The sequence below is a fragment of the Homo sapiens genome, chromosome 1 (assembly GCF_000001405.40).
Source record: "Homo sapiens chromosome 1, GRCh38.p14 Primary Assembly".
In the NCBI taxonomy this organism is placed as follows: Eukaryota; Metazoa; Chordata; class Mammalia; order Primates; family Hominidae; genus Homo; species Homo sapiens.
Window position 1 is genome coordinate 27367912 of NC_000001.11, and position 24409 is coordinate 27392320.

Here is a 24409-nt window from a genome sequence, read left to right on the forward strand (position 1 = left end):
AATGAGATAGGCAGGAAGTGGTAGAGTTTGAGAACTTGGCCTGCAACAGAGGCTGGAGTGGAAAACAGACAACTTACAAAGGACAGGCATGGGCAACCGACAGGCTGAGAAAGCTGTGCAATTCCCAGCCAGGGCGGTGGCTCATGCCTGTAATCCCACTTTGGGAGGCCAAGATGAGTGGATCACGAGGTCAGGAGTTCGAGACCAGCCTGGCCAACATGGTGAAACCCCGTCTCTACTAAAAATACAAAAAAAAGTAGCTGGGTGTGGTGGCACCTGCCTGTGATCCCAGCTACTTGGGAGCTGAGGCAGGAGAATCACTTGAACCTGGGAGATGGAGGTTGCGGTGAGTGGAGATCGTGCCATTGCACTCCAGCCTGGGCGGGGCGACAGAGCAAGACTCCATCTCAAAAAAAAAAAAAGCTATGCAATTGTGCAATTCCTGCCACAAAGCCATCCACTTGCAGGACCCAGAGGGCCTCGGGAAATTGTCAATGGATGCTTGGATCTCCTCTAATCCTTCCACTGTATGCCCCTCTGGCTCATTGCACTCCAGCCTGGGCAGGGCGACAGAGCAAGACTCCATCTCAAAAAAAAAAAAAAAAAAAAAGCGGCCGGGCGCAGTGGCTCACACCTGTAATCCCAGCACTTTGGGAGGCCGAGGAGGGCAGATCATGAGGTCAGGAGATTGAGACCATCCTGGCTAACATGATGAAACCCCGTCTCTACTAAAAATACAAAAAATTCGCCGGGCGTGGTAACGGGTGCCTGTAGTTCCAGCTACTCGGGAGGCTGAGGCAGGAGAATGGCGTGAACCTGGGAGGCAGAGCTTGCAGTGAGCCAGGATGGTGCCACTGCACTCCAGCCTGGGCGACAGAGCGAGACTGCGTCTCAAAAACAAACAAACAAACAAACAAACAAAAAAGCTGTGCAATTGTGCAATTCCTGCCACAAAGCCATCCACTTGCAGGACCCAGAGAGCCTCAGGAAATTGTCAATGGATGCTTGAATCTCCTCCAGTCCTTCCACTATATGCCCCTCTGGCCTTGTCTTGCACACCTCCAGAGACAGAAGCCTCACTACTTTAGAGGCTGTCCTTTCCATCTTCCTGACTGGAAGGAAATTCTTCCCTGAATGGAGCTGAAACTTGTGTCCCTGCTCTGCCCTCTAGGGTTTTTTCCCAGTAACTGGAAGAGTCTTGAAAGGGCTAAAATGATTTTATTTTTAAATGTGGACAGGCAAGCAGAGGTGGTTGGCAAAGGCAAGGTGGCTGACGATCCGGAAGCTGTACAGGAGAGATAAGGGCACTGGCTGCCAGAGTGCCCTATCGAAGCATCATCCGAACCCTGCGGTAGGGGTGGCCCACACCACGGCCTGAGGCCCAGTCAATGCCATATTTGTGGGCGGCAGCCTCAGACACTGCATAGCGACCATTGAGATTTGATCGGTAACAGGATGCATACCACCAGGCACCGTGGACAATCACTGCACAGTTGCTGTTGCTTGAATCGTGGTCAGCGTCATAGGTGGTAAAGGGCCTCCCACTGTGGAGGCTCAGGGAATCCCCTAGCAGGGAAGGGATGGAAAGCACCTTGGTGCCCAGCACCACGCCTGGCACCTTTGGAGATATAATGCCATGGGAGTCTCAGAGCAACTAAGAGTTGAATTTTATCAGGCCCCACGAGCAACACCAAGGGGCCAGGTTGTTTGCGCAGGGTTACTCGGCTGGTTGAAGCAGCGGCAGGACTTGAACTCGGGACTGTCTGGCTCCAAAGCTCCCAGCTTTTCCCCCTGTCTTACCCCCTCCAGAATCCCCGGCCCCCCTCTAGCTCCTTTGTCTTCTCTCAGCTCCCATCCAGTCTGAGCAACTCTGCTAGGAAAAGCTGGGAGGAACCTCTTAGGTGCCTGGCCAGGAAAGGTGGTTCCCTGAGGCACTCCCTCATAACCACTTCCCTCTTTTAAATCTCTCCCCAATAGTCACTGTTTCTCTGAAAGAAGACTTCCGTGGTTCCTCTTCCAAAGCAGAGAACACTAACACTCAACAGAGCCTCAGGCGGCACCCAAAACTTCCTCCTTGCCTCCCTGCGCTCCCCCCGCCTTTTTTTTTTTTTCTGAGATGGAGTCTCGCTCTGTCGCCCAGGCTAGAGTGCAGTGACACTCTCTTGGCTCGCTGCAACCTCTGCCTCCCAGATTTAAGTGATTCTCCTGCCTCAGCCTCCCGAGTAGCTGGGATTACAGGCACCCTCCACCACGCCCGGCTAATTTTTTTGTATTTTTAGTAGAGACGGGGTTTCACCATGTTGGCCAGGTTGGGTTTGAACTCCTGACCTCAAGTTATCTGCCCGCCTCGGCCTCCCAGAGTGCTAGGGTTACAGGCATGAGCCACCGTGCCCGGCCTCCCTGCCCATTTTATAGAGGAGGAAACTGAGGCTCAGTGGAGGGGTAGGACTTGCCCAAGGTCACATAAGTACTAAATGGCAGAGATGGATTCAAACTCAGGTCTGTTTGCCTCCAGATCCCAAATTCTTCACTGTTGCACCATCCTGTTTCATGATTGCCATTTCTCAGATGCGGAAACTAAGGCCCACAGAGGAGACAGGATTGCCCTGGGTCATTCATGGGGGCAGTGGCAGCACTGGGAAAGGATCCAGCCTCCTTCCTCTGCTCCCCTTAGGCTCACTCACCTGCAGTGCCCTCTGAGAACTTGCCCAGTGCCAGCTGGTAGTGGTCTACCTCACCGAGGAGGCGGAAGGTCGCATAGTGGGCGAAAGTACGGTTACCATTAAAGTCTTCCAGCTCTACCCGCAGCTCCCAGTTACCTGGAAAGAAGGGGAGGCAGGGATGGAGGAATCCTCAGTTCTTGGGGGTGGGGCAGGGATTCAGGATGGCAGACAGTAACCCCCAGACTCCAGGACCCTGCTGGGAACTCACCCTGGAGAGTAAGCTGGTGCAAATTCTCATTTCCCAGCCAGAATTCAGACTCTTGGTTCCCAAAACCTGCTCTGTAGGAGGACCAAGAGCGGAAGAAATCCACAGAACCATCCTGGCGCCTCTGAAACACCTGGGGGAGGGGGGGCACAGCAGCTATTACTCCAGGCTGGGCACTGGCAGCTGAGGGTGCAGGAACTGTGAGGGGTGGGTGGATACCCACTCTCTCTTTGGATTGGGGCCTGTTGATAAAATGGGGATCCTTCAAGTTAGCTTTGAATATTTCTATGAACTCTACATTCCCTTGTTAACTTTTACTGACACTCAACTTCATGCCACAGCCTTGCAAGCCCTGGGAAGACTGAATTGACAAAACACTGTCCCCACCCACAGGAGATGGCCAGCGCTGCTGGGTGTCAGTCAAAATAACCCAATTTCATTTACTATAAGAACCAAGAACGCTTGGTGGCTCATGCCTGTAATTCCAGCACTTTGGGAGGCCGAGGCGGGTGGATCACTTGAGGTCAGGAGTTTGAAACCAGCCTGGCCAACATGGTGAAATCCCGTCTCTACTAAAAATACAAATATTAGCCGGGTGTGGTGGCTCACACCTGTAGTTCCAGCTACTCAGGAGGCTGAGGCACAAGAACTGCTTGAACCTGGGAGGTGGAGGTTGCAGTGAGCCGAGATCACACCACTGCACTCCAGCCTGGGCAGCAGAGCAAGACTCCGTCTCAAAACAAACAAACAAACAAAAAAACCAAGATATTTTACATTAGAGAGGCCACTCCCACAGCCCAAGCTGGACCCCTGGCCTTACCCTGATGTCTTCCACCTCCCCCTCCAAGCCAAGTAGGCCCCAGGTCCTATAGAGTTGTCAACCTAAGTACTTCTATTTCCATTGCTCCACTGTCTTATTTTATTTATTTATTTTTTTGAGATAGAGTCTCACCCCCTGTTACCAGGCTGGAGTACAGTGGTGTGATCTCGGCTCACTGCAACCTCTGCCTCCCTGGTTCAAGCAATTCTCGTGCCTTAGCTTTCTGCATAGCTGGGATTACAGGCACCTGCCACCACGCCCAGCTAATTTTTTGTATTTTTAGTAGAGATGGGGTTTTGCCATGTTGCCCAGGCTGGTCTTGAACTCCTGAGCTCAGGCAATCCACCCACCTCGGCCTCCCAAAGTGCTGGGATTACAGGTGTGAGCTACTGTGTCAGGCCTGCTCCACTGTCTTTACTGCCTGGCTCCTTGCTGTCTTCCTAAACCATGTCCCTGCCTCCACTGGTCCCCCAATGCAGTGCATCTTTCATGGTGTAGCCCGAATCATCTTTTTAAAACAGAAGTTCTACTTGGCCCCTCCCCTGCTTAAAACTCTCCTGGGGCTACCCATTGCCCTGCACACTCTTCTTTTTTTTTTTTTTTTTTAAGACAGAGTCTCACTCCGTTGCCCAGGCTGGAGTGCAGTGACTCAATCTTGGCTCACTGCAACCACCACCTCCGGGGTTCAAGCAATTCTCCCAGCTCAGCCTCCTGAATAACTTGGATTACAGGCGCCCACCATCACGCCTGGCTAATTTTTATATTTTTAGTAAAGATGGGGTTTCACCATGTTGGCCAGGCTGATCTCGAACTCTTGACCTCAGGTGATCTGCCCGCCTTGGCCTCCCAAAGTGCTGGGATTATAGGCGTGAGCCACCACGTCCAGCCAACCACCGCGTCTGGGCGCGCTGCACACTTCTTAAGTTGATCATTTAGTGCCTTCCATGAACTGGCCTTTACAGAGGTCCTCAATCCATGTTCCGTCAGTGCCGGCAGACTTTAGCCGACACCCACGCCTGCTCTCAGCTCACTCACGCGTTCCCTGCAAACCTTTTACTCTGCTGCCTCCCTGAGTTTATCTTTACTTCTAGCTGGAATGCCCCTCCCTACCCTATTTTTTTTTTTTTTTTTTTTTGAGACAGAGTTTCACTCTTTTCACCCAGGCTGGAGTGCAATGGCAAGAACTCGGCTCACTGCAACCTCCACCTCCTGGGTTCAGGCAATTCTCTTGCCTCAGCCTCCCAAGTAGCTGGGATTACAGGCGTGAGCTACTGCACTCAACTTAAGGTCTTTTCAAAAGGCACCTCCTCTGTGAAGCCCTCATACTTCTTCAGGTCCCATTGGGGGCTCACTAAACATTTGTCAGTGAATTCCTCTAGGAAATGCCTTGCTCTGGTGGGTTCTGGCTCCCCTAGGGGCCAAGGGGGAGAAGTGACCAGTGGGCCTGGCCTGTTAGCCCATTTCTCAGACACTCACCAGCCAGCCGCCCCCCTCGGTGTCCATGTCACAAAAGACTGGGAGGGCCCTGCCCTCAGGTAGGCACAGATGGTACCAGCCGCTCAAGGTGGCGCCCTGGCTCAACAGCTCCCGGCAGTTTCTGGGGCCTGGGAAAGGGGAGATGGACTGGGGTGGTGCCCAGGTTATTCCCTGACCCCCACCCCCAGGCACTGGAACAAGTGTGGGACCCTAGGGACCCTCTTGGCTCCTTCAGGTCCCTGAAGAAGGGTTCTGAGGAGGCTGTGGGGAGGATCTTGGCCACACTTGGGGGTCTGCCAACACCCAACACCATGTGATCCCAAGTTCCTGGCTCCTGCAAGGGCTGCCTCACCTTCCTGGCACCGGAGCAGGTTCACTGGATCTCCTGCCCCAGAGAAGGGATGAGTGTTGGCTCTGATGTCTCAGCACCCCAGCGCTGAGCCACCAGTGGAGCCGGTACCCAGGCCCTTTTCCGAATCCTTCCCACTCCTCCCAGCCTTCCATACCCTGTAGGAGGGCCATCATAGGGTACCCAGGCCCTTCTCCTAATCCTCTCCACTCCTCCCAGCCTTCCAAACCCTGTAGGAGGGCCTTCATAGGGTACCCAGGCCCTTCTCCTAATCCTCCCCACTCCTCCCAGCCCTCCATCCCCAATAGGAGGGCCATCATAGGGTAGCCAGGCCCTTCTCCTAATCCTTCCCACTCCTCCCAGCCATCCATTCCCCTGTGAGAGAGCCATCATAGGCACAGCAGCCAAGCAGAGATCCCACCCTAGAGTCCAGGGACAGAGGCAAAGAAAGCGGGGAGGCCTCCAGCCCCACTTACTCACCTGGCTCACCCTTGGGGCCCATCTTGCCTGGTGGTCCAGGTGGCCCTGAAATCACAAAGGCAGAGATTTCCTGAGTCCCACCCCATGCCCAGGACCAAAAAGAAACAAGAGACTTGGAGCCAGAGGTTCAAATCCCAGTTTCACCCTTCACTCACTTTGTGATTGCGGGCAAATATCTTATCCTCTCTGAACCTCCCTTTCCTCCTCAGCAGAATGGGGATGAAACCACTTACCTGGCAGAGTTGATCTTAGGATGCCGGGTGCCCAGCCTGGAGCTGGCACAGAGTAGGTTCCTTGCTCCTTTGTCGTGGCCCCTCAGCACAGACAAAAATTGCTACTTTCCTGCCTTCCCCATTCCCAAGATCCCAGCCCGCTCCCCAGCCCCTCTCACCTTGAGGACCTGGGGCTCCCTTCTCCCCAGGACTTCCTGGAGCTCCGGGACAACTGGGCAGGAGGACAACTTTGCTGGCTTCCAGTTCCCTGGGTCCTACAGGGAGACACAGGCAGGGTGGGCACAGGGTAGACTGTCTCTTCCAGACCCCTCTTCAGTTCTCTTCCTGTCTCCCAGATTCCCACTGTCAGGATGCTTGTCTCCTGAGCTGGCAAGGTTTCGTGTGCTTTGCATCCATTTGCATATATTTACATGCAGAGCCCAGATTATGAAACTCCCACCCTGCTCCTTGAGGTTGATGAGCCTTGGTGGGGGGACACCCAGCGAGGGAATGAGGAGTGGGTTGGTGAGGAGGGCACCCTAGGTGCCCACCTGGGCAGCTGGGGTGTTCCTGGGTCTTCAGGCAGGCAGGCCCCCCAAGCAGGAGAAGCCACAGGGAGGGCAGGATCCACAGTAGATCCATCTTGCTGGGCCCACCAGGGGAAGGATGCCAGATTATAAGGGGGCCAGGCTGGTGGGAGGACATGAAACAAGACTTCCTCCCATTGTCCCCCAGGGACACCCCACCCAGACTGGAGCCAGCAGGGGGTGGGAGTATTTCCTCCTTCAGCCCCAGAGAGAAAGGGCATTATCCCTGCCCTATCCAACCAGGATGGAGTCCAACATCTTTTTGTTTTTTGTTTTTTGTTTTTTTGTTTTTTTGAGACGGAGTTTCACTCTTGTTGCCCAGGCTGGAATGCAATGGCGTGCTCTCAGCTCAATGCAACCAATGCAACCTCTGCCTCCCGGGTTCAAGTGATTCTCCTGCCTCAGCCTCCCAAGTAGCTGGGATTATGGGTGCACGCCACCAAGCCCAGCTAATTTTTTGTATTTTTTTTTTTAGTATAGAAGGGGTTTCACCATGTTGGCCAGGCTGGTCTCGAAATCCTGACCTTAGGTGATCCACCCACCTCGGCCTCCCAAAGTGCTAGGATTACAGGTGTGAGCCACCGCACACTGAAAGAGTCCAACTTCTGATCCTGGCTTCCAGGGCTCCCCAGCCATCTCTCCAGACCTCTACATTCACAGTCGTCTCTACCTGTGAAGCCCCATCTGTCCATGAAGGTCTAGCTCTACAGCCATCTCCACTGGGAATCCTTCCCTGATCCTTGTCAATGCTATGAATAGTGACAACTGCTACCATTTCCTGGGCATCTACTGCATTCCAGCGTCATACTGACGTCACCTCCGATCCTCACATGGACTTGCTATTAATCCTTATTATTGCATTATGGGCCTGGTACAAAATGGGTGCTCAGTAAGAAAGAGTTAAATGAATAAGGAAAGAGAAACTGAGGCCCAGTGATGGGACGTGACTTCTGTTCTCTTGGCCACTTATATGCTGAGAGCAACAGAGTTTTACCCAAGCCCCATGCCCCCGCCAGGGAAAAGCACCATTAAGAAAGTGATTCTGGCTGGCTGCGGTGGCTCATGCCTGTAATCCCGGGATTTTGGGAGTCCGAGGCAGGCAGATCACCTGAGGTCAGGGGTTCGAGACCAGCCTGGCTAACACGGTGAAACCCTGTCTCTACTAAAAATACAAAAATTAGCCGGGCTTGGTGGCATGCACCTGTAATCCCAGCTACTCAGGAGGCTGAGGCAAGAGAATCACTTGAAACCCGAAGGCAGAGGTTGCAATGAGCCGAGATCGCACCACTGCACTCCAGCCTGGGCGAAAGAGCAAAAACTCCGTCTCAAAAAAAAAGAAAGTGACTCCATGCTCAACCTTGAGTCCCGTGAGGCTTAGGAAACAGCTGCTAATGTACGCCAATTGAGCGGGAAGCCCATGTAGGAAGGCCTGGAGGCCGGGAAGCCAGGGAGGACGCAGCAGCCAGGGTCCAGATGTGAAGGATCAGGCCTGAGCTGGAGAGGGACCTCAGGTGATAAGGGAGGAGAGGCAGGGCTCATTCATTCACTCATTCAGGAAACCCTCCCTCAAGGCCTCCTCTGCACCTCCCTGGTGCTTATGGAGAGGGCTGAGGTGCAAGTGGTATCAGGGGAAGTGGAGGCAGTGTTTGCCTGACAGGATGTGTCCGCGAGAGGGATATCCTGAGACCGCAATTCCAGTTCTAGGAATCTGTCTTCCCCAGACTGTCCCACGAGTATGCCAAGATCTGCAGACAAGCCTGTTTACCATGGCGCTGTTTGTAAGCATCAGTGTGGAAATGACCCAACCAGTCATTGATGGCATTCACATGAATTAGGACCATTCAGACAACTCACAGGGTGAATCTGATCTAAAATGAGAGGGGCAAAAATGCAAAACAGTATGCACAGCATTATCCCACTTTGTATTTTTAAAATGCTAGAGGTGTGTATATATGTATTTTGTAAATTCACAGAAAGAGGTCTGACACAGACCTTGTGAACTGTGGTTATTTCTGGAGAGTAGGACCAGGGAAGGAGTTGTTCTCTCTTTTTTTTTTTTTTTTTTGGAGACAGGGTCTCACTCTCTCACCTAGGCTAGAGTGTGGCGGTGTGATCATAGCTCACTGCAGCCCCGACCTCCTGGGCTCAAGCAGTCCTCCCACCTCAGTCTCCCGGTAGCTGGGATGCCAGGCAGAGCCACCACACCGGGCTAAATTTTTATTTTATTTATTTATTTTGAGACAAAGTCTTGCTGTGTTGCCCAGGCTGGAGTGCAGTGACTTGATCTCGGCTCACTGCAACTTCCGCCTCCTGGATTCAAGTGATTCTCCTGACTCAGTCTCCCAAGTAGCTGGGATTACAGGTGTGTGCCACCACGCCCAGCTAATTTTTGTATTTTTAGTAGAGATAGGGTTTCACTATGTTGGTCTGGCTGGTCTCAAACTCCTGACCTCAAGTGATCCACCCGCCTTGGCCTCCCAAAGTGCTGGGATTACAGGTGTGAGCCACTTTGCCCCGCCTAAATTTTTATTTTTTGTAGAGATGGGTTCTCACTATACTGCCCAGGCTGGTCTCAAACTCCTGGCTTCAAACAATCATCCCGCCTCAGTCTCCCAAAGTGCTGGAATTACAGGTGTGAGCCACTATACCTCCTGGCCAGTTTTTTATTTTTTAATATATACAGGGTCTCACTCTGTCACCCAGGCTGGAGTGCAGTGGCATGATCTTGGCTCACTGCAGCCTGGACCTCTCAGGCTCAAGTGATCCTCCCACCTCAGCCTCCTGAGTACTTGGGACTACAGGCGTGCACCACGACACCCAGCTAATTTTGGTATTTTTAGTAGAGATGGGGTTTCGCCATGCTGCCCAGGCTGACTAGGCTGACTCCAACTCCTGAGCTCAAGCAATCCTCCTGCCTCGGCCTCCCAAAGTGCTGGGATGAGCCACCGCACCCAGCCCAGTTCTCACTCTTCTGTATAGTCCTTTTTCAAACCCTCACAGGCATTTACTACTTTTGCAAAAAAAGAAAGCACCCAATAAAGGAGGAGGGTGAAGAAGAAAACTCATGCTGGGGGAGAAACAAGGGCAGGGTGACCCAGGCAGGAGGAGCTGCTCATGCAGAAGCCTAGAGAAGAGAGAAGGCAAGGGCAGATGGGGTGTTATCATATCCCATACAGGGGAAGCAGCAGGGGCTCTAGGGAGACGGGGGAGTGCACAAAGGGGAGGCTGATTTCCAGAGGCTTGGAGCTTTGGCGGAAGTGAAGGTGCAAGGGAGGGGTGAGGAGGTGGACTGTGGTTGGCAGGGGGGGGTGGATGTTGCAGTGAGCCAAGATCTCACCACTCTACTCTAGCCTGGGCGACACAGTGAGACTCTGTCTCAAAAAAAAAAAAGAAAAAAAAAAAAGAAAAGAAAAGAAAAAATAAAATAAAATAAAAAGTTATAAAACTCGCAGCTACATGCCTGGCTCCTGGCAAGCGCCCATCCATGGGCGATGTTACCGTCAGGGAAGACTTCGGTGCCTGGGGACAGAAGGCAGGCCTTCCCAGGAGAGCCTGAGAGAGGAAGGCCAGGAATGGCTGCGTGGAGTCCCTGGGGCCCTTTCCCCCTTGGCGCGGGGGCAGAGACCTAACTTTTGGAGGCCGAGAGAGCCTGGAGATGCCTCTGGAATGCTGTTCTGCTCACTCTGGAGTCAGAAAAGCCTGAATTCATTTTATTTTTTATTTTAATTTTACTTTTTTTTTTTTTTAATCGATGGGGTCTCAACTATGTTGCCCAGGCTGGTCTCCTGGACTCAAGTGATCCGCCCACATCAGCCTCCCAAAGTGCTGGGATTTTAGGCATGAACTATGATGCCCAGCCCAGAAAAGCCTGAATTGAAACCCCGGCCCTGCCCTGTCCAGCTGTGTGACTTCAGCATGTGTACTTACCTGAGTCTCCGTACCCTCATCTGTAAAGGGGCAAGGGGTGGGGGTTAAGCAGGTGTCAAAGATGAACATTTTTTTTTTTTTGAGACAGAGTTTCACTCTTGTTGCCCAAACTGGAGTGCAATGGCACGATCTTGGGTCACTGCAACCTTCGCCTCCTGGATTCAAGTGATTCTCCTGTCTCAGCCTCCCAAGTAGCTGGGATTAGAGGCGTGTGCTACCACGCCCAGCTAATTTTGTATTTTTAGTAGCGATGGGGTTTCACCATGTTGGTCAGGCTGGTCTTGAACTCCTGACCTCAGGTGATTCACCTGCCTCGGCCTCCCAAAGTGCTGGGATTACAGGCGTGAGCCACTGCGCCTGGCCAGATGAAAATATTTTAAAAGGTAACAGCGACAGTCCTAGCTGGAATTCCCGTTAAGAAGAGGACAATGGCCGTACCCTCACCCCATCCAATCCACACACAGCCCAAGACACAGGACATGAAGTGCAGTGCAGAGTTCCTTTATTTGGGGGCAGTGCCCAGGCCAGTTGGTGGAAAGAGGCAGGCATACAACCCACTGTCAGGCTGGGGGGCCCAGCAGGGGCGATGGAGGAGACGAGGTGGTTGAGGGATTTTCTCAGCTGCAGGTTCCAGGCCCAGGACAGGAGGAGATGTCAGGCATCAGACACTGAGCCTGCTTGGTGCCCGCAGGAGCCAAAAACTGGCGGCCAGAGTTTTTCCCGCCCCCGCCCCCCGCTTACCCACAAGGGTGCCCAGAGGCCACCCTCTGCATCCTCCTTTCCCCTCAGGATGGAGTCCAGGCCCAAAGGGGTCAGATTCTGCAGAGGCCAAAGAGGACACTCAGGAAGGTGACACTGCCTCAGCCAGCCAAGGACCCCCTGCCTCGAGAGGAGGCAGCAGAGGAAGAGCAAACACTTTAACACAGGCTGTGGCGACCCGCCCCACAGCACACACGGCACACAGAGGGCCTCAGGCACAGCTCCCCTTCTCAGAGCAAAACCCAACTAGACACAAGGCCCAGCTCCTGCCCACAGCCACAGAAACGCGGGCCACAGGCTTGCCTGGGCTGGCACCTACTGGTTCTCTTCCCTGCTGGCAGCATGAAGGGAAAAGACACAGGAGGGCTCAGCTGGGCTCCTAGACTGGCCCAGGCTGAGTCCTGGTCCCAGCCAACATCTGACAAAGGAAACACCCCAACTGGAGGAGACAAAAGGGGTGTGGCTCACATGGAGCACGCTGTCACCGTCCTGAGGGCTTGCCCATGGAGAAGACAGCACCCTGGGTACTGAAGGGGAACGGTGGGGCAGGAACCAGGAGGTAAGCTGGGACTCAGGTACTTGCTGCTGGCCAGGTACTCACAGCGTCTGGTAGGTGCTGTCCTTGGCCTTGAGGAAGTGCAGCACAAAGAAAGCCACCGCCTGTAGGCTCAACACCAGCACGACACCTCCGATAAAGCTGGCCCCGTCAAATCCAGGGCTGTGGGCCTCAGGGACTGGGGGGCTCCCTGCAGGGGTGAGGCAGGGCAGGGGTCATAGCAGTCACTGTGAACCAGGATCCCAGTCCTACCCTCATAACTGGCACAAGTAACCTGGAGGCCCCGGTCCTCAATATGGGGTGCTTAAACCCTGGGCTCCGTTTAGTCCAGATCCCGCAGGCAGTTGGGAAGCGCCTGGTGGGAGGAACAGTGGCAGGGGAGGGTGGGGTGCTGTCCAGCCCTGGCTCTGCTCCTGGCTTGCTCTGTGGCTTTTATGCCACCCACATTCTCTCTGGGCCTCATGATCACATGGTCCAATTGGTGGCTTGGACCAGTGACTGGGCTCCCACCCTCCCTGGGCCTCACCAGCCCAATAGGGTGAAGACAGAGCCAGAACTCAGACCCTCCCCTGCTCACAATTCCTTTCAGCCTTGGACCTCAGGGTTCAGAGCCAAGATGCAGACGATATAGTCCCTTTTCAGGACTCCTAAGCCCTAAGACCTCAGTGTCACCCAATGTCAGAGCCCTCAGAGAGGGAAGGAGCAGGGGGAGAAGTGGAGGCCCCAACTGTCACCCTGCTAAGTGGGTAAGCGAGGACTGGACAGTGTGTGTCAGGGGGAACATGGCTGAGGGACAGGCTTGGCCAAAGTCACCTCACAGGACATAGCCAGACTCACACAGGGTCCCCTGACCATCTCCTCTGCCCCTTAGAAGGTAGGGCTTTAGGGCCATGGTTGCCAGGCTATGCCTGGGTGGCTCCCAGCTGTGCCACGGTACCTGTCCACTCCTAGCAGGGATTTGATTTCAGGCCCTGGGCTGGGTGCCCAGAACAGGGCAGGGCTGGTGGATGGAAGATCATTCTGGGACAGTGGAAAGGGGCCCAGCCTGAACTGGGTCTCCCTCCCAGAAGGTGTAAGGGGTGGAAGGAGTCTGACAATATGAAGGGCAAACAGTGGTCCCAGCTCCCGCTCAGGGAGCCCCAGAGAAGGAAGCTGGGGGATGAGGAGCAGAAGAGGGGAGAAATGAGCCACATGAGGCTGATCCGGGGCTCCAGCTGAGGGAGCTGAGCCATCAATAATTCAGCTTCTGAGATCGGTTTCTGGCTTTAATTAACCAAGGGCCTCTTCAGCCATCCCTGCCAAGTCTGGTGACCTCCAGCCCCTGAGAGGGAGTGGGAAGCAAAGGGTGGCATTCTTGCCTCTACTCCGCCAGGAACCCGCCTTGTGACCCTCTCTGGGCCTGGAGGGTGCAGTAGGCAGGCACTGAGGATGTCTCCTGAGCAACTCGAGCCACACACCCTCACCTCCAAGGACAAGTCCCGAGGGGTGACCTTGAGTTCCCAGAACTGGCAATGGGGAGGAGGGATGGGAACTGTCATTTCTTGATTGCCTTCAGTGAGTCAGACACTGAAGTGGGCACTGTACAGCTTCTCATAAAACCTGCAGAGCAACTCTATGAGAAAGGCATCATCCAACCCATTTCACAGATGCGGAGACAGGCTCCGAGGGAGAAGGCGCAGGGCCGAGGTCACAGAGCATGTCAGTGCCTGAGCCCAGAGCTGTCTTCCCCTGCACCTCTGCTCCTCCCACTGCCCCGTCTCCAGGGAGTACTCACCTGTTGTGACTGTCTTCGGTTCATAGGTGGGGTGGTGGTGAGCAGCTGAGGAGACAGGTGATCCATAGCAAAGCAGCCTTCCCACCCCCTGACTCCCATCAAGACCCCAGCCCCCACTCACCGCTAAACTTCCGATTCAGATGCAGCCCTGTCCCTACTCTAGACATCCAACATACTTGCAAGCCCCACACAGTTCCCTCCACCAGATGTGCTCTCTCTCCATCTCTACCTTCCAGGCTCATTACTGATGCCACCTCCTCCAGGAAGCACTCCCTCTCATTCCCTCTGAACTTCCAAAGTCCTTGCTATGCCTTAAACTAGAAGAAGAGCTAACACTCCCATCCCCTCCACACACCTGTACTAATTTTCAGATGAGGAAATAGGCAGAGAGAGGAGGGGACTTCTCAGTGAGCTAAAGGCAGAACTGATACCGGGCCCAGGTATGGGTGAGCAAAATCCACCGCCTGAGAGAGGCTGTTTCCTCCTGGGGGGCAGGCTATGGCTGGGGAGACCCATGCAACTTGGCTTAGGTGCAAGAACCCCCTTACCTGGACATGCCTCTGAGCGGTTGTAGATGGAGCAACCTTCCTTGACCACCTCAGATTGGGCCACACAGTGTCCTGGTGAGAGAAGGTGCAGGGGGGAGGTTTGGGGAGAGGGGCCAGGGCCTTGGGGTTCAGAGCTGGGGGCACTCAATCTGGGGAGGGCTCAGCTCCATACCTGGCTCCTCTGGCCGGCACTGCTCCCACACGCAGCTGGAGAGATTGCGCGCTCCGTCTCCCTCCACGCAGTGCTCACAGACCTCCAGCTGTTTGCAGGCCCCTTGGACCGCCGGCCAGATATTCAGGCGGATCAGGGCTCCCCTCCCAAAGCCTCGAGCTCCTTTACCTGGTAGTGCGGTGGAGTGGGAAGGGAGAATTCCTCGAAGCCAAGCTGTGGCACCCGCCCACCCTCCCACCCAACACTCCGGTGGCCCTCGCCCCTCTGCACACATCTGGGCTCTCACACTCACCCCTGGATCCCCAAGCCCCAGCGCACACCTGGAGCTTCCACAGCAGAGGTCTACACACACCTAGAGCCTCCCCACATTCACCCAGAGCCCCTCCCTTTGCATACACCCGGGGTTCCCAGATTCAGTTGGAGCCACCTCCCCCAGACCACCTGAAGCTCCCTAGGCCCCCACACCTGGGGCCTATATTTACACACAGGGCTCCACACAGAGCTGGAGCCCCCTCTCCCACCCCTGGAGGCCTGCACTTGGCCGGAAAGCCCCCTCCCCTCAAGCCCAGGCTGCTCCTGGGGAGACGGCTGGCTGAGGTGCAAGCTCCATCCGTCCCCGTCGAGCCCCTAGCCAGACCCTGCCGCGAGTTACCAGCCACAGCCAGCTGGGCACATAGGAGGAGGCAGCAACAGCCGCCACAGAGCGCAGTCCGCAAGGCGCGGGGTCCCGGAGCCTCCATGGGCTCGCGGGGTGGGGGTGGCCGGGGGCGGTGGCCGGGATCGGTGGACAGCTGCCGGGCGCGTCCCTCCCAGACTGGGCTCGGCTGAGCGTGTGCGGAGCGAGACCTGGGCAACCGGGGCGTGGCCAGGTGGGGGCGTGGCCAGTGGGAGCGGCAGGTGGGGCGGGGCTCGTCGGTCGGGGCGGAGCCAGGTGAAGGCGGGGCCAGTTAGGGGCGTGGCTAGTGTGCGCGGCCAGGTGAGTTCGGGGGTCTGGGGCGGGGCTTGGACTAAAGCAGGTGGGGTCCAGGACTGGTGGCTGGCGTGGTTACTATGTGCCTCCAAGGGCAGCTTCTTGAAAATTCTGGAAAGTACCGACTGCTTTGATCCTTACTTCACAGGTGAGGAAACTGAGGCTCAGACAAGATGAGTGACTCGTTCGAGGTCACGGAGAGAGGCAGTGGCAAAAATCTGGATTCGAGACGAGGTCACTTCCCTGCCTTCAGGGCTCGGTGCAGGCCCCGCTTTGTACACCCTCCACCCAGGCCCCATGACCGCTGGGCCGGGCCCTAGCTGGCCCCTGCCCTCTGGCTGCCCAAGCTTAGCTTCGGTGCTCCCTCTCCATTCACTGCACCCCTCCACCCGCCTCCCTTCTGCCCCTCATCCGCTGTGTCTGCCTCTGGCCTACCACACCCTCTGGCCAGGTCAGGGGTGACGCCATTACTAGGCCAACTGGGCCTCTCCGCAGCCTTCCCCACGGCTACCACTCCTGCCCTGGCACCAGCCTCTTTTGGTTCTCCTCAGGCTCCTTAGGGGGCACTTCCTCTCCTTCCTCTTCCTCCTCCCCTCCTCTCCCCTCCTTCCCCCATCTGCTTCTCCTAACCCTCTCTTAATCGATGGTGGCCCAGGTTAGTCCCAAGCCCTGTTCCACACTCTCCTGGGGTCATCCTGGACATTCCACTGCCATCAGTCCCCACTTGAAACCCAACAGCTGAGGCAGGAGGATTGCTTGAGCCCAGGGATTTGAGGCTGTAGTGAGCTGTGATCATGGCATTGCACTCCAGCCTGCGCAACAGAGTGAAACCCTGTTTTAAATGAATGAATGAATGAATGCCAACAGGTCACGTATCCCAATAAATATATACACCCACTATGCACCCATTAAAAAAATTTTTTTTGAGCCAACAGATCTCTTAATCATCTCCAGGCCAGTTCTGACTTCACAACTGCCACACCTGTAACTGACAATATATAGCTAGCAATTATTGACCCCTTACTAGCCGAATGTACATTTTGAGAGCTTTTACATGCAACTTCCCATCTAATGTCCACAGCTACCCTCTAGGCATGAGTTTTGTCATTTCCCATTTGCAGGCTGCTCAGGGGCACAGGGTTTCAATGCAGCAGGCCAGGATGTAAAGCTAGGATTGAATGATGCTGGAGGCCATGCTCCCTCTGCTGTGCCTCCCATGGGTCCACGGCATCTCCACCTGAGTGTCCCTGAGGCCCCCAAAACTGCCCACTCAGGGGAAAAGAGACCCTTCGGGTTCTGGGGGAGGGAGGAGGGATAGCATTAGGAGATATACCTAACGTAAATGATGAGTTAATGGGTGCAGCACACCAACATGGCACATGTATACATATGTAACAAACCTGCACATTGTGCACATATACTCTAGAACTTAGAGTATAATAAAATATATATATTATATATATAAAAAAAGAAAATGTGGCACATATACACCACGGAATACTATGCAGCCATAAAAAAGGATGAGTTCATGTCCTTTGCAGGGACACGGATGAAGCTGGAAATCATCATTCTCAGCAAACTATCACAAGGACAGAAAACCAAACACTGCATGTTCTCACTCATAAGTGGGAATTGAACAATGAGATCACTTGGACACAGAGGGGGAACAGCACACACCAGGGCCTGCTGGGGGGTGGGGGGCTTGGGGAGGGATAGCTTTAGGAGAAATACCTAATGTAAATGATGAGTTGATGGGTGCAGCAAACCAACATGGCGCATGTATACCTATGTATCAAACCTGCACGTTGTGTACATGTACCCTAGAACTTAAAGTCTAATAAAAAAATAAAATAAAAATAATAAAAAATAAAATTAATTAATTAATTTTAAAAAGTCCTTCAGGTTCTGTCCCCTTGTATTCCCTCTGTACGCCTCACTGCATCTCAGCAGCTTCCAGGCCCCTCCTATGCTGGCCCTCACAAATCATATATTTGACCATATCTCTTCCAGTTAGCAACTTTTTTTTTGAGCCTGAGTCTCACTCTGCTGCCCAGGCTGGAGTGCAGTGGCACAGTCTCAGCTCACTGAAACCTCCACCTCCCAGGTTCAAGGGATTCTTGTGCCTCAGCCTCCCAAGTAGCTGAGATTCTGAGATTACAGGCACCCGCCACCATGCCCGGCTAATTTTTTGTATTTTTAGTAGAGACAGGGTTTCACCATGTTAGCCAGGATGGTCTTGATCTCCTGACCTTGTGATCCGCCCGCCTCAGCCTTCCAAAGTGCTGGGATTACAGGCATGAGCCACCGTGCCCGGCCAATTTTCTGTATTTTTAAAGTTGAGACAGGGTTTCACCATGTTGGTCAGGCTGGTCTCGAACTTTTCTTTTTTGAGAGGGAGTTTCGCTCTTGTTGCCCAGGCTGAAATGCAATGGTGCAATCTCAGCTCACCGCAACCTCTGCCTCCCGTGTTGAAGCAATTCTCCTGCCTCAGCCTCCCAACTAGCTGGGATTACAGGCATGTGCCACCACGCCCAGCTAGTTTTGTATTTTCAGTAGAGACAGGGTTTCACCATGTTGGTCAGGCTGGTCTCGAACTCCTGACCTCAGGTGATCTGCCTGCCTCGGCCTCCCAAAGTGCTGGGATTACAGGCGTGAGCCACCGTGCCCGGCCAGTTTCGAACTTTTGACCTCAAATGATTCACCCACCTTGACCTCCCAAAGTGCTGGGATTACAGGTGTGAGCCACCATGCCTGGCCCCACCTAACAACTTTTCAACAATGGCTTGACCTCCACAACCCTTTGATTTCTGGCTCTAGAAGTCTCTCTATCCTGGCCTGGGTGCTTCCCATCACCTTCCTACCCTCTAAGAAGATAGAACAGAGCCTTCCCCCTATACCTCTCTTCCTCTATCCTAGCTGTTCTCTCTCCTAGAGGGTCCTCCTCAACCTTGGACTTCATTTGCCTGGCAAACTAATTCTTCAAGACACCACTACAAGACCACCTCCTGCAGGAAGCCTTCTGTGACTGTCACAGAATGAGGCTGAGCTGCTGCAGCACTTAGCTAGAGATCTAAATCCATCTGCTTTTTCCACTTCAGAGCCCTCCCCATCTCTTGCCTGAATGACTGCAGTGGCCTTCTAGTGGGGCTCCTGCTCCCCATTCCAGTCTGTTCTGCACTCAGCAGTCAGAGTGACCCTTTGATAACGTGTCAGTTCAGATCATAACACTTCCCTCCCACCAATGGCGTCTGTCTCACTGATCTGGGATTTCAGGCGCCCGCTGCCACACCTGGCTAATTTTTTGTATTTTTAATAGAGACGGGGTTTCATCATATTGACCAGGCTGGTCTCGAACTCCTGACCTCAGGTGATCCACCCGTCTTGGCCTCCCAAAGTGCAGGAATTACAGGCATGAGCCGCTGTGCCCAGCCAGATGTTTATTAAGTAACCTTACTGTACCATGTTGTGACAATCTGTGTACATGTTTGTCTGTCCCACCGGTCTGTAAGCCCCCAAGAGCTCCCTTCTGTCTCACATGATCTTGCCTCTGCCCACCTCGCCTCTCCTCCCTCTCCCCTTTGCTGATTTAGCTGCAGACACACTAGCCTCCTCTCTCTGGTCCTCACACCCATCAATGCTTTCTCTTCTTGGGGACTTTACACTTGTCGTGTCCTCTCCTTAAGACTCCTGTTCTCTCTTCACGTGACTTGTTCCATGACCTCCCTCCCTAAAAGAGGCCACCTGGTGATCCTACATCCCAACAGCTGCTCTTTTCTTCAGAGCAGGTAGCTAATGTATAATTAATTACTCATTTGTTTCCTAGGCTGTAAGCTTCATGAAGGCAGGAACCATGTTGATCTTCCCTCCTTAGTGAACTCCTTGCACACAGTAAGGGCTGAATAGATGTTGGGGTTTTTGTTTGTTTGTTTGTTGAGACGGAGTTTCGCTCTTGCTGCCCAGACTGGAGTGCAGTGGTGATCTCGGCTCACTGCAACCTCCGCCTCCCAGATTCAAGTGATTCTCCTGCCTCAGCCTCCTGAGTAGCTGGGATTACAGGTGCCTGCCACTATGCCTGGCTAATTTTTTGCATTTGTGGTAGAGACAGGATTTCATCACGTTGGCCAGGCTGGTCTCGAACGCCTGACCTCAGGTGATCCACCCACCTCGGCCTCCCAAAGTGCAGGAATTATGGGCGTGAGCCACCATGCCCAGCCAGATGTTTATTAAGTAACCTTACTTACTATGCCATGTTGTGACCATCTGTGTACATGTTTGTCCCACTGGTCTGTGAGGCCCCCAAGAGCTCCCTACTTGAATAGATTTTAAGGATCTATTTGTAGATTGTCCATCCCTCCAGATTAAAACTGAAGCTTGGCCTGGCACAGTGGCTCATGCCTGTAATCCCAGCACTTTGGGAGGCCGAGGTGGGCAGGTCACCTAAGGCCAGGAGTTCGAGACCAGCCTGGCCAACATGGTGAAACCCTGTCTTTACTAAAAAATACAAAAATTAGCCAGGCGTGGTGGCATGCATCTGTAGTCCCAGCTACTCGGGAGGCTGAGGCAGGAGAATCGCTTGAACCCGGGAGGCGGAGGTTGCAGTGAGCTGAGATTGCACCACTGCACTCCAGCCTGGGCAACAGAGCAAGACTATGTCTCAAAATAACTAACTAAATAAATTAATTAATAAAACTGAAGCTCATTGAAGATGGCAGGGATTTTTGTTCACTGCTGTATTCTCTGTACCCGGGAAATAGAAGATGCTCAATAAATGTGTCTATTGACTGTTGAAAAGGCAGGAATTTGGCCAGATCATCTTTCTGTCCCTAGCACCCACTGAACAAACCCTAAGCCCAGGGGAACTGCCAGTAAATAATGGCTGAATGAATGGGTCTATGCTAAGAATATGGGCACTGATGATGCCTAGACCCTTGGGTCTTAGACAAGGGACTCAGGTGTGGGGATTATCTATGACTGACACACACACACACACACAAGCACACACGCACGAACACCCCCTCCCCGCCAATTCCTCCCTCCCCAAGGGATTTCTCCAACTGGTGAAGACAGAAGAGGCAAGGATAAAAGTCTCACCTGGAAGTGAGTCCTCACAGCCATCTGGTGGCCACCTGGAGAACTGCAGGTATTGTCAGCCCTAGTCAAACTTTAGCCTCAGCCCCTTCTGGGAAGAAGGTGACATCTAGGCCAGAATGGAAGGCACACTGGACTTGGTGACAGATGGACCTGGCTTCAGATCCCAGCTCTGCCATTTACTATGTGATTTGGGGCAAGTCCCTTGGCTTTCCTGGGCTTCACCCAAGAAATGGAGACATGGTCCCTCACTTTTGCAGGTTGTTGTAAGCCTTGGGCTCTGGCTGGGCACCTGGTAGGTGGGAAGGGTTGGAGGAGGTGTCAAGGAGGTAGGGACAGAGGGCATGAGGAGAATAGGAGAGAAGGAACTATCTCTTCCTTTAGAGAGCAAGTATGCGGGGAATGGAGACCTGATTGGTATGAGCACTTTTGGTGCGTGAGGGAGAGCACATGAGGTTCACGTGAAAACCCATAGCCCCCCTTTAGTCTCTTGGCTCTCCTGGGTTTCTCGGGGTTAGAAATGTCACTGCATGCCGGGTGCGGTGGTTCATACCTGTAATCCCAGCACTTTGGGAGGCTGAGCAGGGTGGATCACCTGAGGTCAGGAGTTCAAGACCATCCTGACCAATATGGTAAAACCCTGTCTCTACTAAAAATACAAAAAAAAAAAAAAAAAAAAAAGCTGGGCATGGTGGCGGGCACCTGTAATCCCAGCTACTTGGGAGGCTGAGGCAGGAGAATCGCTTGAACCCAGGAGGCAGAGGTTTCAGTGAGCCGAGATTGCACCACTGCACTCCAGCCTGGGCAACAAGAATAAAACTGTCTCGGAAAAAAAAAAAAAAGGAAAGAAAAGAAATGTCACTGCACTCTCTTTTCCTCTCTGGCTGCCTTAGGATCAACTTCCCTTGCAAACAACAGGATAACTATCAGGATCAGGAAGTTCATGACCAATACTTCAGTGGAAATGATGGTCTTCCGTGTCCTTCACCCTGGGAAGACAACAATACCTAAGACAGAAAACTAGTCAAAAAGTAGAAGACCACTCTGGATTTCATCTTTGTATTTAGAACCCATTTTGGGCTGGGCACAGTGGCTCATGCCTGTAATCCCAGCACTTTGGGAGGCCAAGGTGGGCAGATCACTTGAACCTACGAGTTCAAGACCAGCCTGGGCAATGTGGCGAAACCCTGTCTCTACAAAAATTACACGCCTTAGCCAGGCGTGGTGACACGTGCTTGTAATCCCAGTTACTGTGGAGGCTGAGATGGGAGGATTGCTTGAGTCCAAGAGGTTGAGGCTACAGTGAGCATTGATTGCACCACTACACTCCAGCCTGGGTGACAGACTGAGATCCTGTCTCAAAAAACAAACAAACGAAAAAAAAAGACAGAACCCATTTTGGTGGTGTTAAGACAACTGGCTTGGTTATGATTTATGATTCCTTGGATTATGCAAAGAAAAATTAATCCAAACACAGACTTGCAAGACATAAAAGAAAAAGACCTCAAGAAAACAGCTAAAGGAACTCAAGAACAGAATGACGACAGCCAGGGAGTCACAAGAGTGTGGTGCTGGTGCTGGCAAACAGGAATGGCTTTATCTGCAGCAATGGTGAAGATTTTTCACCAGAGGATCAATAAGCTACGAAAACTTAAAAAATATATAATTGCCATTCAGAGTAGTAGAAGATAGTCCCTGATACCCCCCTTTGATGCCAACCTCCCAGCAGCCTTCACCCATCGCAGAGACCAGAACTCTGTAGGGACCCAGCTCTGATGGGGGAGTAAATGGATCCCTGACCCTGAGTCTTGGGGCCCTGATGCCCTTGGATCCTCTCTCTGACACCCCCACCTTCCTGGGCACCAGGCATATTACTATTCTCTCTGTTTTCCTTTTTTCCTCTGGTTGTTCCCTTTTAGGTCAATCATCCAGTCCATGATTATTTCTTCAATACCCATTACATATCAGGCACTGTTCTCTAGCAGAAATGGGACATAGTCAGTATCCTCTTGGAGCTTAGATTCTAGTGGGGCTGACATGTAGTAAAACAAACAAACATGAATTCATTTATAATTTCAAGAGTGCTTCATCCTCCAAAAATGAATAAATCAAGAGAAGGGGAGGGAGAGTGATGGGGAGGCCAGTGGCGATCTGAGAGTTCAGAGCAGCCTGTTTCAGAAGTAATTCGGGAGCAGAGACCTGGATGAAGAGAAGGGTTGTTGTCAGAGGGGTCAGGTGCAAGAGCCCAGGAGGAGGAGCCCCTGAAGCCACTCCTCACTCTCTGCTCCCGCCCCTGGGTGACATTATTTACCCCTAAAACATCAGTTGCCACCTGCATGCCTACACCTCCCAGGTGTCCCTCATTATCCAGCTGTAACATTGATGGCCAATGGCAAGTAGAACCCACTCAACAACCCCATGAGGCCGGTACTAATATTATCCCTGTGTTTTAGATGAGGAAATAGGCACAGAGAGCTGAAGAAACTCTCCAAAGTCACCCAGCTAGGAAATGGAGAAACTGAGATTGGACACTTCCACCCCCTAAGCCCCCTAAACTCACCACATCCAACCTGAAATGAATCCTCTTCTCCAGCTCCGACCCCCTCCTCCTCCCATGTTCCCTGCCACTTGACCTTCTGCTGCCTCACACTCAAACCCAAAACCTGCCTGGTGGAGGCTGACCATGGGGGCTGCAGTGATGGTGCTGTGATGGGGGTGTCCAGTGGGGCCTGGGATCCTCAGGCCTCTTAACCTCATCTTCCCCTCCCACAGGCCTGCATGATTCCAGGGAGCATCAAGGCAAGAGACACAGGGAGAAGGAGCAGCCAGTCCCCCTGCCGCAGGACTGGCCACATCTGTCACATCTGGAGAAGTCTGCCCAGAGTGGTTCCCCTGGACTAAGGGCAGATGGCGTTGGGGAAGAGGGAGCTCTTTCTCCTTGCTCCACCCATCAGGATGCCTAAAATAGGAGGCTGAGAGGGGCCTGCCCTGAGGACTGAGCTGCCAGGCTTTCTGCTTCCAAGTTCTTCCCGGCTCCCCATCTCCTCCTGCTTCAGGGAAGTGCACCCCTCACCCCCTCCACGCTGGCTTTCTAGATACTGGAATAAATAATTCAGGTTTTGAAATCTTGCCAGGCCCACCCCTCCGGTGCTGTGAGGGCGCTATTGGGCTGACATGAGTGACGTCACCCAGCTCTTATCCCAGCCCCGGCATCACGGGACTTGCCCTGGCAGCAACTTACCTGCCTGGTCACTGTCAGTCCAGACCCTCTACCCTGTGCCCCTCACCCTGGAGCCCACTCACCACAGCCACCTGCTATCTTCGTTCCAGGGCCCCACAGTCCTCATGGCTTAGCATTGTCGCTTCAGTACCCCAGCCATTCTGACAGGGTAATGGTGACCTGAAGTCACCTGGACACTCCATGTTCCCAGGCCGCTGCCTCTGCCATCCCGGGGTCCCTGAACTCCCCCCTGCTGCATAGTCACCCTGACACTGCCATGGTTGCCCTGAGGGCTTCCCCTCTACCGTTAGCGTCCCACGGCCATCACCCCCCACCCCAAGATTCTGTCACCATGCTAATGTCGTCACTGCCACCCACCTCCCCGCTCCCTCGTGCTCCCTGTCATCGTCACCTCAGGGCCCCATCATCTTGGAAACCCTGTCATTCTCACCAGGGAAGCCCAACCAGCCCCATCACAAGCTCTTCCTTCGTCACCTGGATCTCGTCAGCCTCTCTGCCACCCAAGGGTCCCATCACCCCACA

The 24409-nt window shown here is 53.4% G+C and overlaps 2 protein-coding genes across 6 annotated transcripts, besides 2 other annotated features; both read right to left on the minus strand.

The window, feature by feature from the left end:
- FCN3 (ficolin 3) lies at positions 1199–6913 on the minus strand. 2 transcript variants are annotated; one of them, NM_003665.4, is made up of 8 exons: positions 6817–6913; positions 6445–6540; positions 6054–6098; positions 5577–5609; positions 5225–5352; positions 2932–3061; positions 2685–2819; positions 1199–1566 (listed from the first exon to the last, which is right to left on the minus strand). In NM_003665.4, exons 1-8 carry the CDS (start codon positions 6905–6907, stop codon positions 1325–1327), a joined length of 900 nt encoding a protein of 299 aa, NP_003656.2. In that variant the 5' UTR covers positions 6908–6913; the 3' UTR covers positions 1199–1324. The 2 variants fall into 2 exon arrangements, with proteins under 2 accessions (NP_003656.2, NP_775628.1); NM_173452.3 differs by lacking the exon at positions 5577–5609.
- CD164L2 (CD164 molecule like 2) lies at positions 11265–15422 on the minus strand. Of its 4 annotated transcripts, XR_241190.4 has the most exons (7): positions 15241–15422; positions 14589–14756; positions 14417–14488; positions 13869–13913; positions 12140–12284; positions 11521–11598; positions 11265–11400 (listed from the first exon to the last, which is right to left on the minus strand). XR_241190.4 is itself a non-coding variant. In XM_011541441.2 (6 exons), exons 1-6 carry the CDS (start codon positions 15326–15328, stop codon positions 11397–11399), a joined length of 522 nt encoding a protein of 173 aa, XP_011539743.1. In that variant the 5' UTR covers positions 15329–15422; the 3' UTR covers positions 11265–11396. The 4 variants fall into 4 exon arrangements, 3 of the variants coding, with proteins under 3 accessions (XP_011539743.1, NP_001317377.1, NP_997280.2); XM_011541441.2 differs by lacking the exon at positions 11521–11598; NM_001330448.1 differs by having other exon boundaries at positions 11265–11598.
- Positions 23327–23863: an enhancer, noted in NCBI's record as "H3K4me1 hESC enhancer chr1:27717742-27718278 (GRCh37/hg19 assembly coordinates)". NCBI's record gives its function as "activates a minimal SCP1, AML or CMV promoter by ChIP-STARR-seq in primed H9 embryonic stem cells {active_cell/tissue: H9 hESC(primed)}" and the evidence as "EXISTENCE:reporter gene assay evidence [ECO:0000049][PMID:30033119]".
- Positions 23864–24400: an enhancer, noted in NCBI's record as "H3K27ac-H3K4me1 hESC enhancer chr1:27718279-27718815 (GRCh37/hg19 assembly coordinates)". NCBI's record gives its function as "activates a minimal SCP1, AML or CMV promoter by ChIP-STARR-seq in primed H9 embryonic stem cells {active_cell/tissue: H9 hESC(primed)}" and the evidence as "EXISTENCE:reporter gene assay evidence [ECO:0000049][PMID:30033119]".

What these genes read in the sequence shown, in the direction of transcription:
- FCN3 (NM_003665.4), bottom strand. Translation starts at nt 6,907, where the DNA reads ATGGATCTACTGTGGATCCTGCCCTCCCTGTGGCTTCTCCTGCTTGGG. An exon ending in CCGAGGGGGGCGGCTGGCTG is followed by an intron (nt 3,062 to 5,224) that starts GTGAGTGTCTGA and finishes CCCCTCCCCCAG; the next exon opens with GTGTTTCAGAGGCGCCAGGA. An exon ending in GTTCTCAGAGGGCACTGCAG is followed by an intron (nt 1,567 to 2,684) that starts GTGAGTGAGCCT and finishes CTTCCCTGCTAG; the next exon opens with GGGATTCCCTGAGCCTCCAC.
- CD164L2 (NM_001330448.1), bottom strand. Translation starts at nt 15,328, where the DNA reads ATGGAGGCTCCGGGACCCCGCGCCTTGCGGACTGCGCTCTGTGGCGGC. An exon ending in TGCCCAGCTGGCTGTGGCTG is followed by an intron (nt 14,757 to 15,240) that starts GTAACTCGCGGC and finishes CCGCACTACCAG; the next exon opens with GTAAAGGAGCTCGAGGCTTT. An exon ending in ACCGAAGACAGTCACAACAG is followed by an intron (nt 12,285 to 13,868) that starts GTGAGTACTCCC and finishes TCACCCCTGCAG; the next exon opens with GGAGCCCCCCAGTCCCTGAG.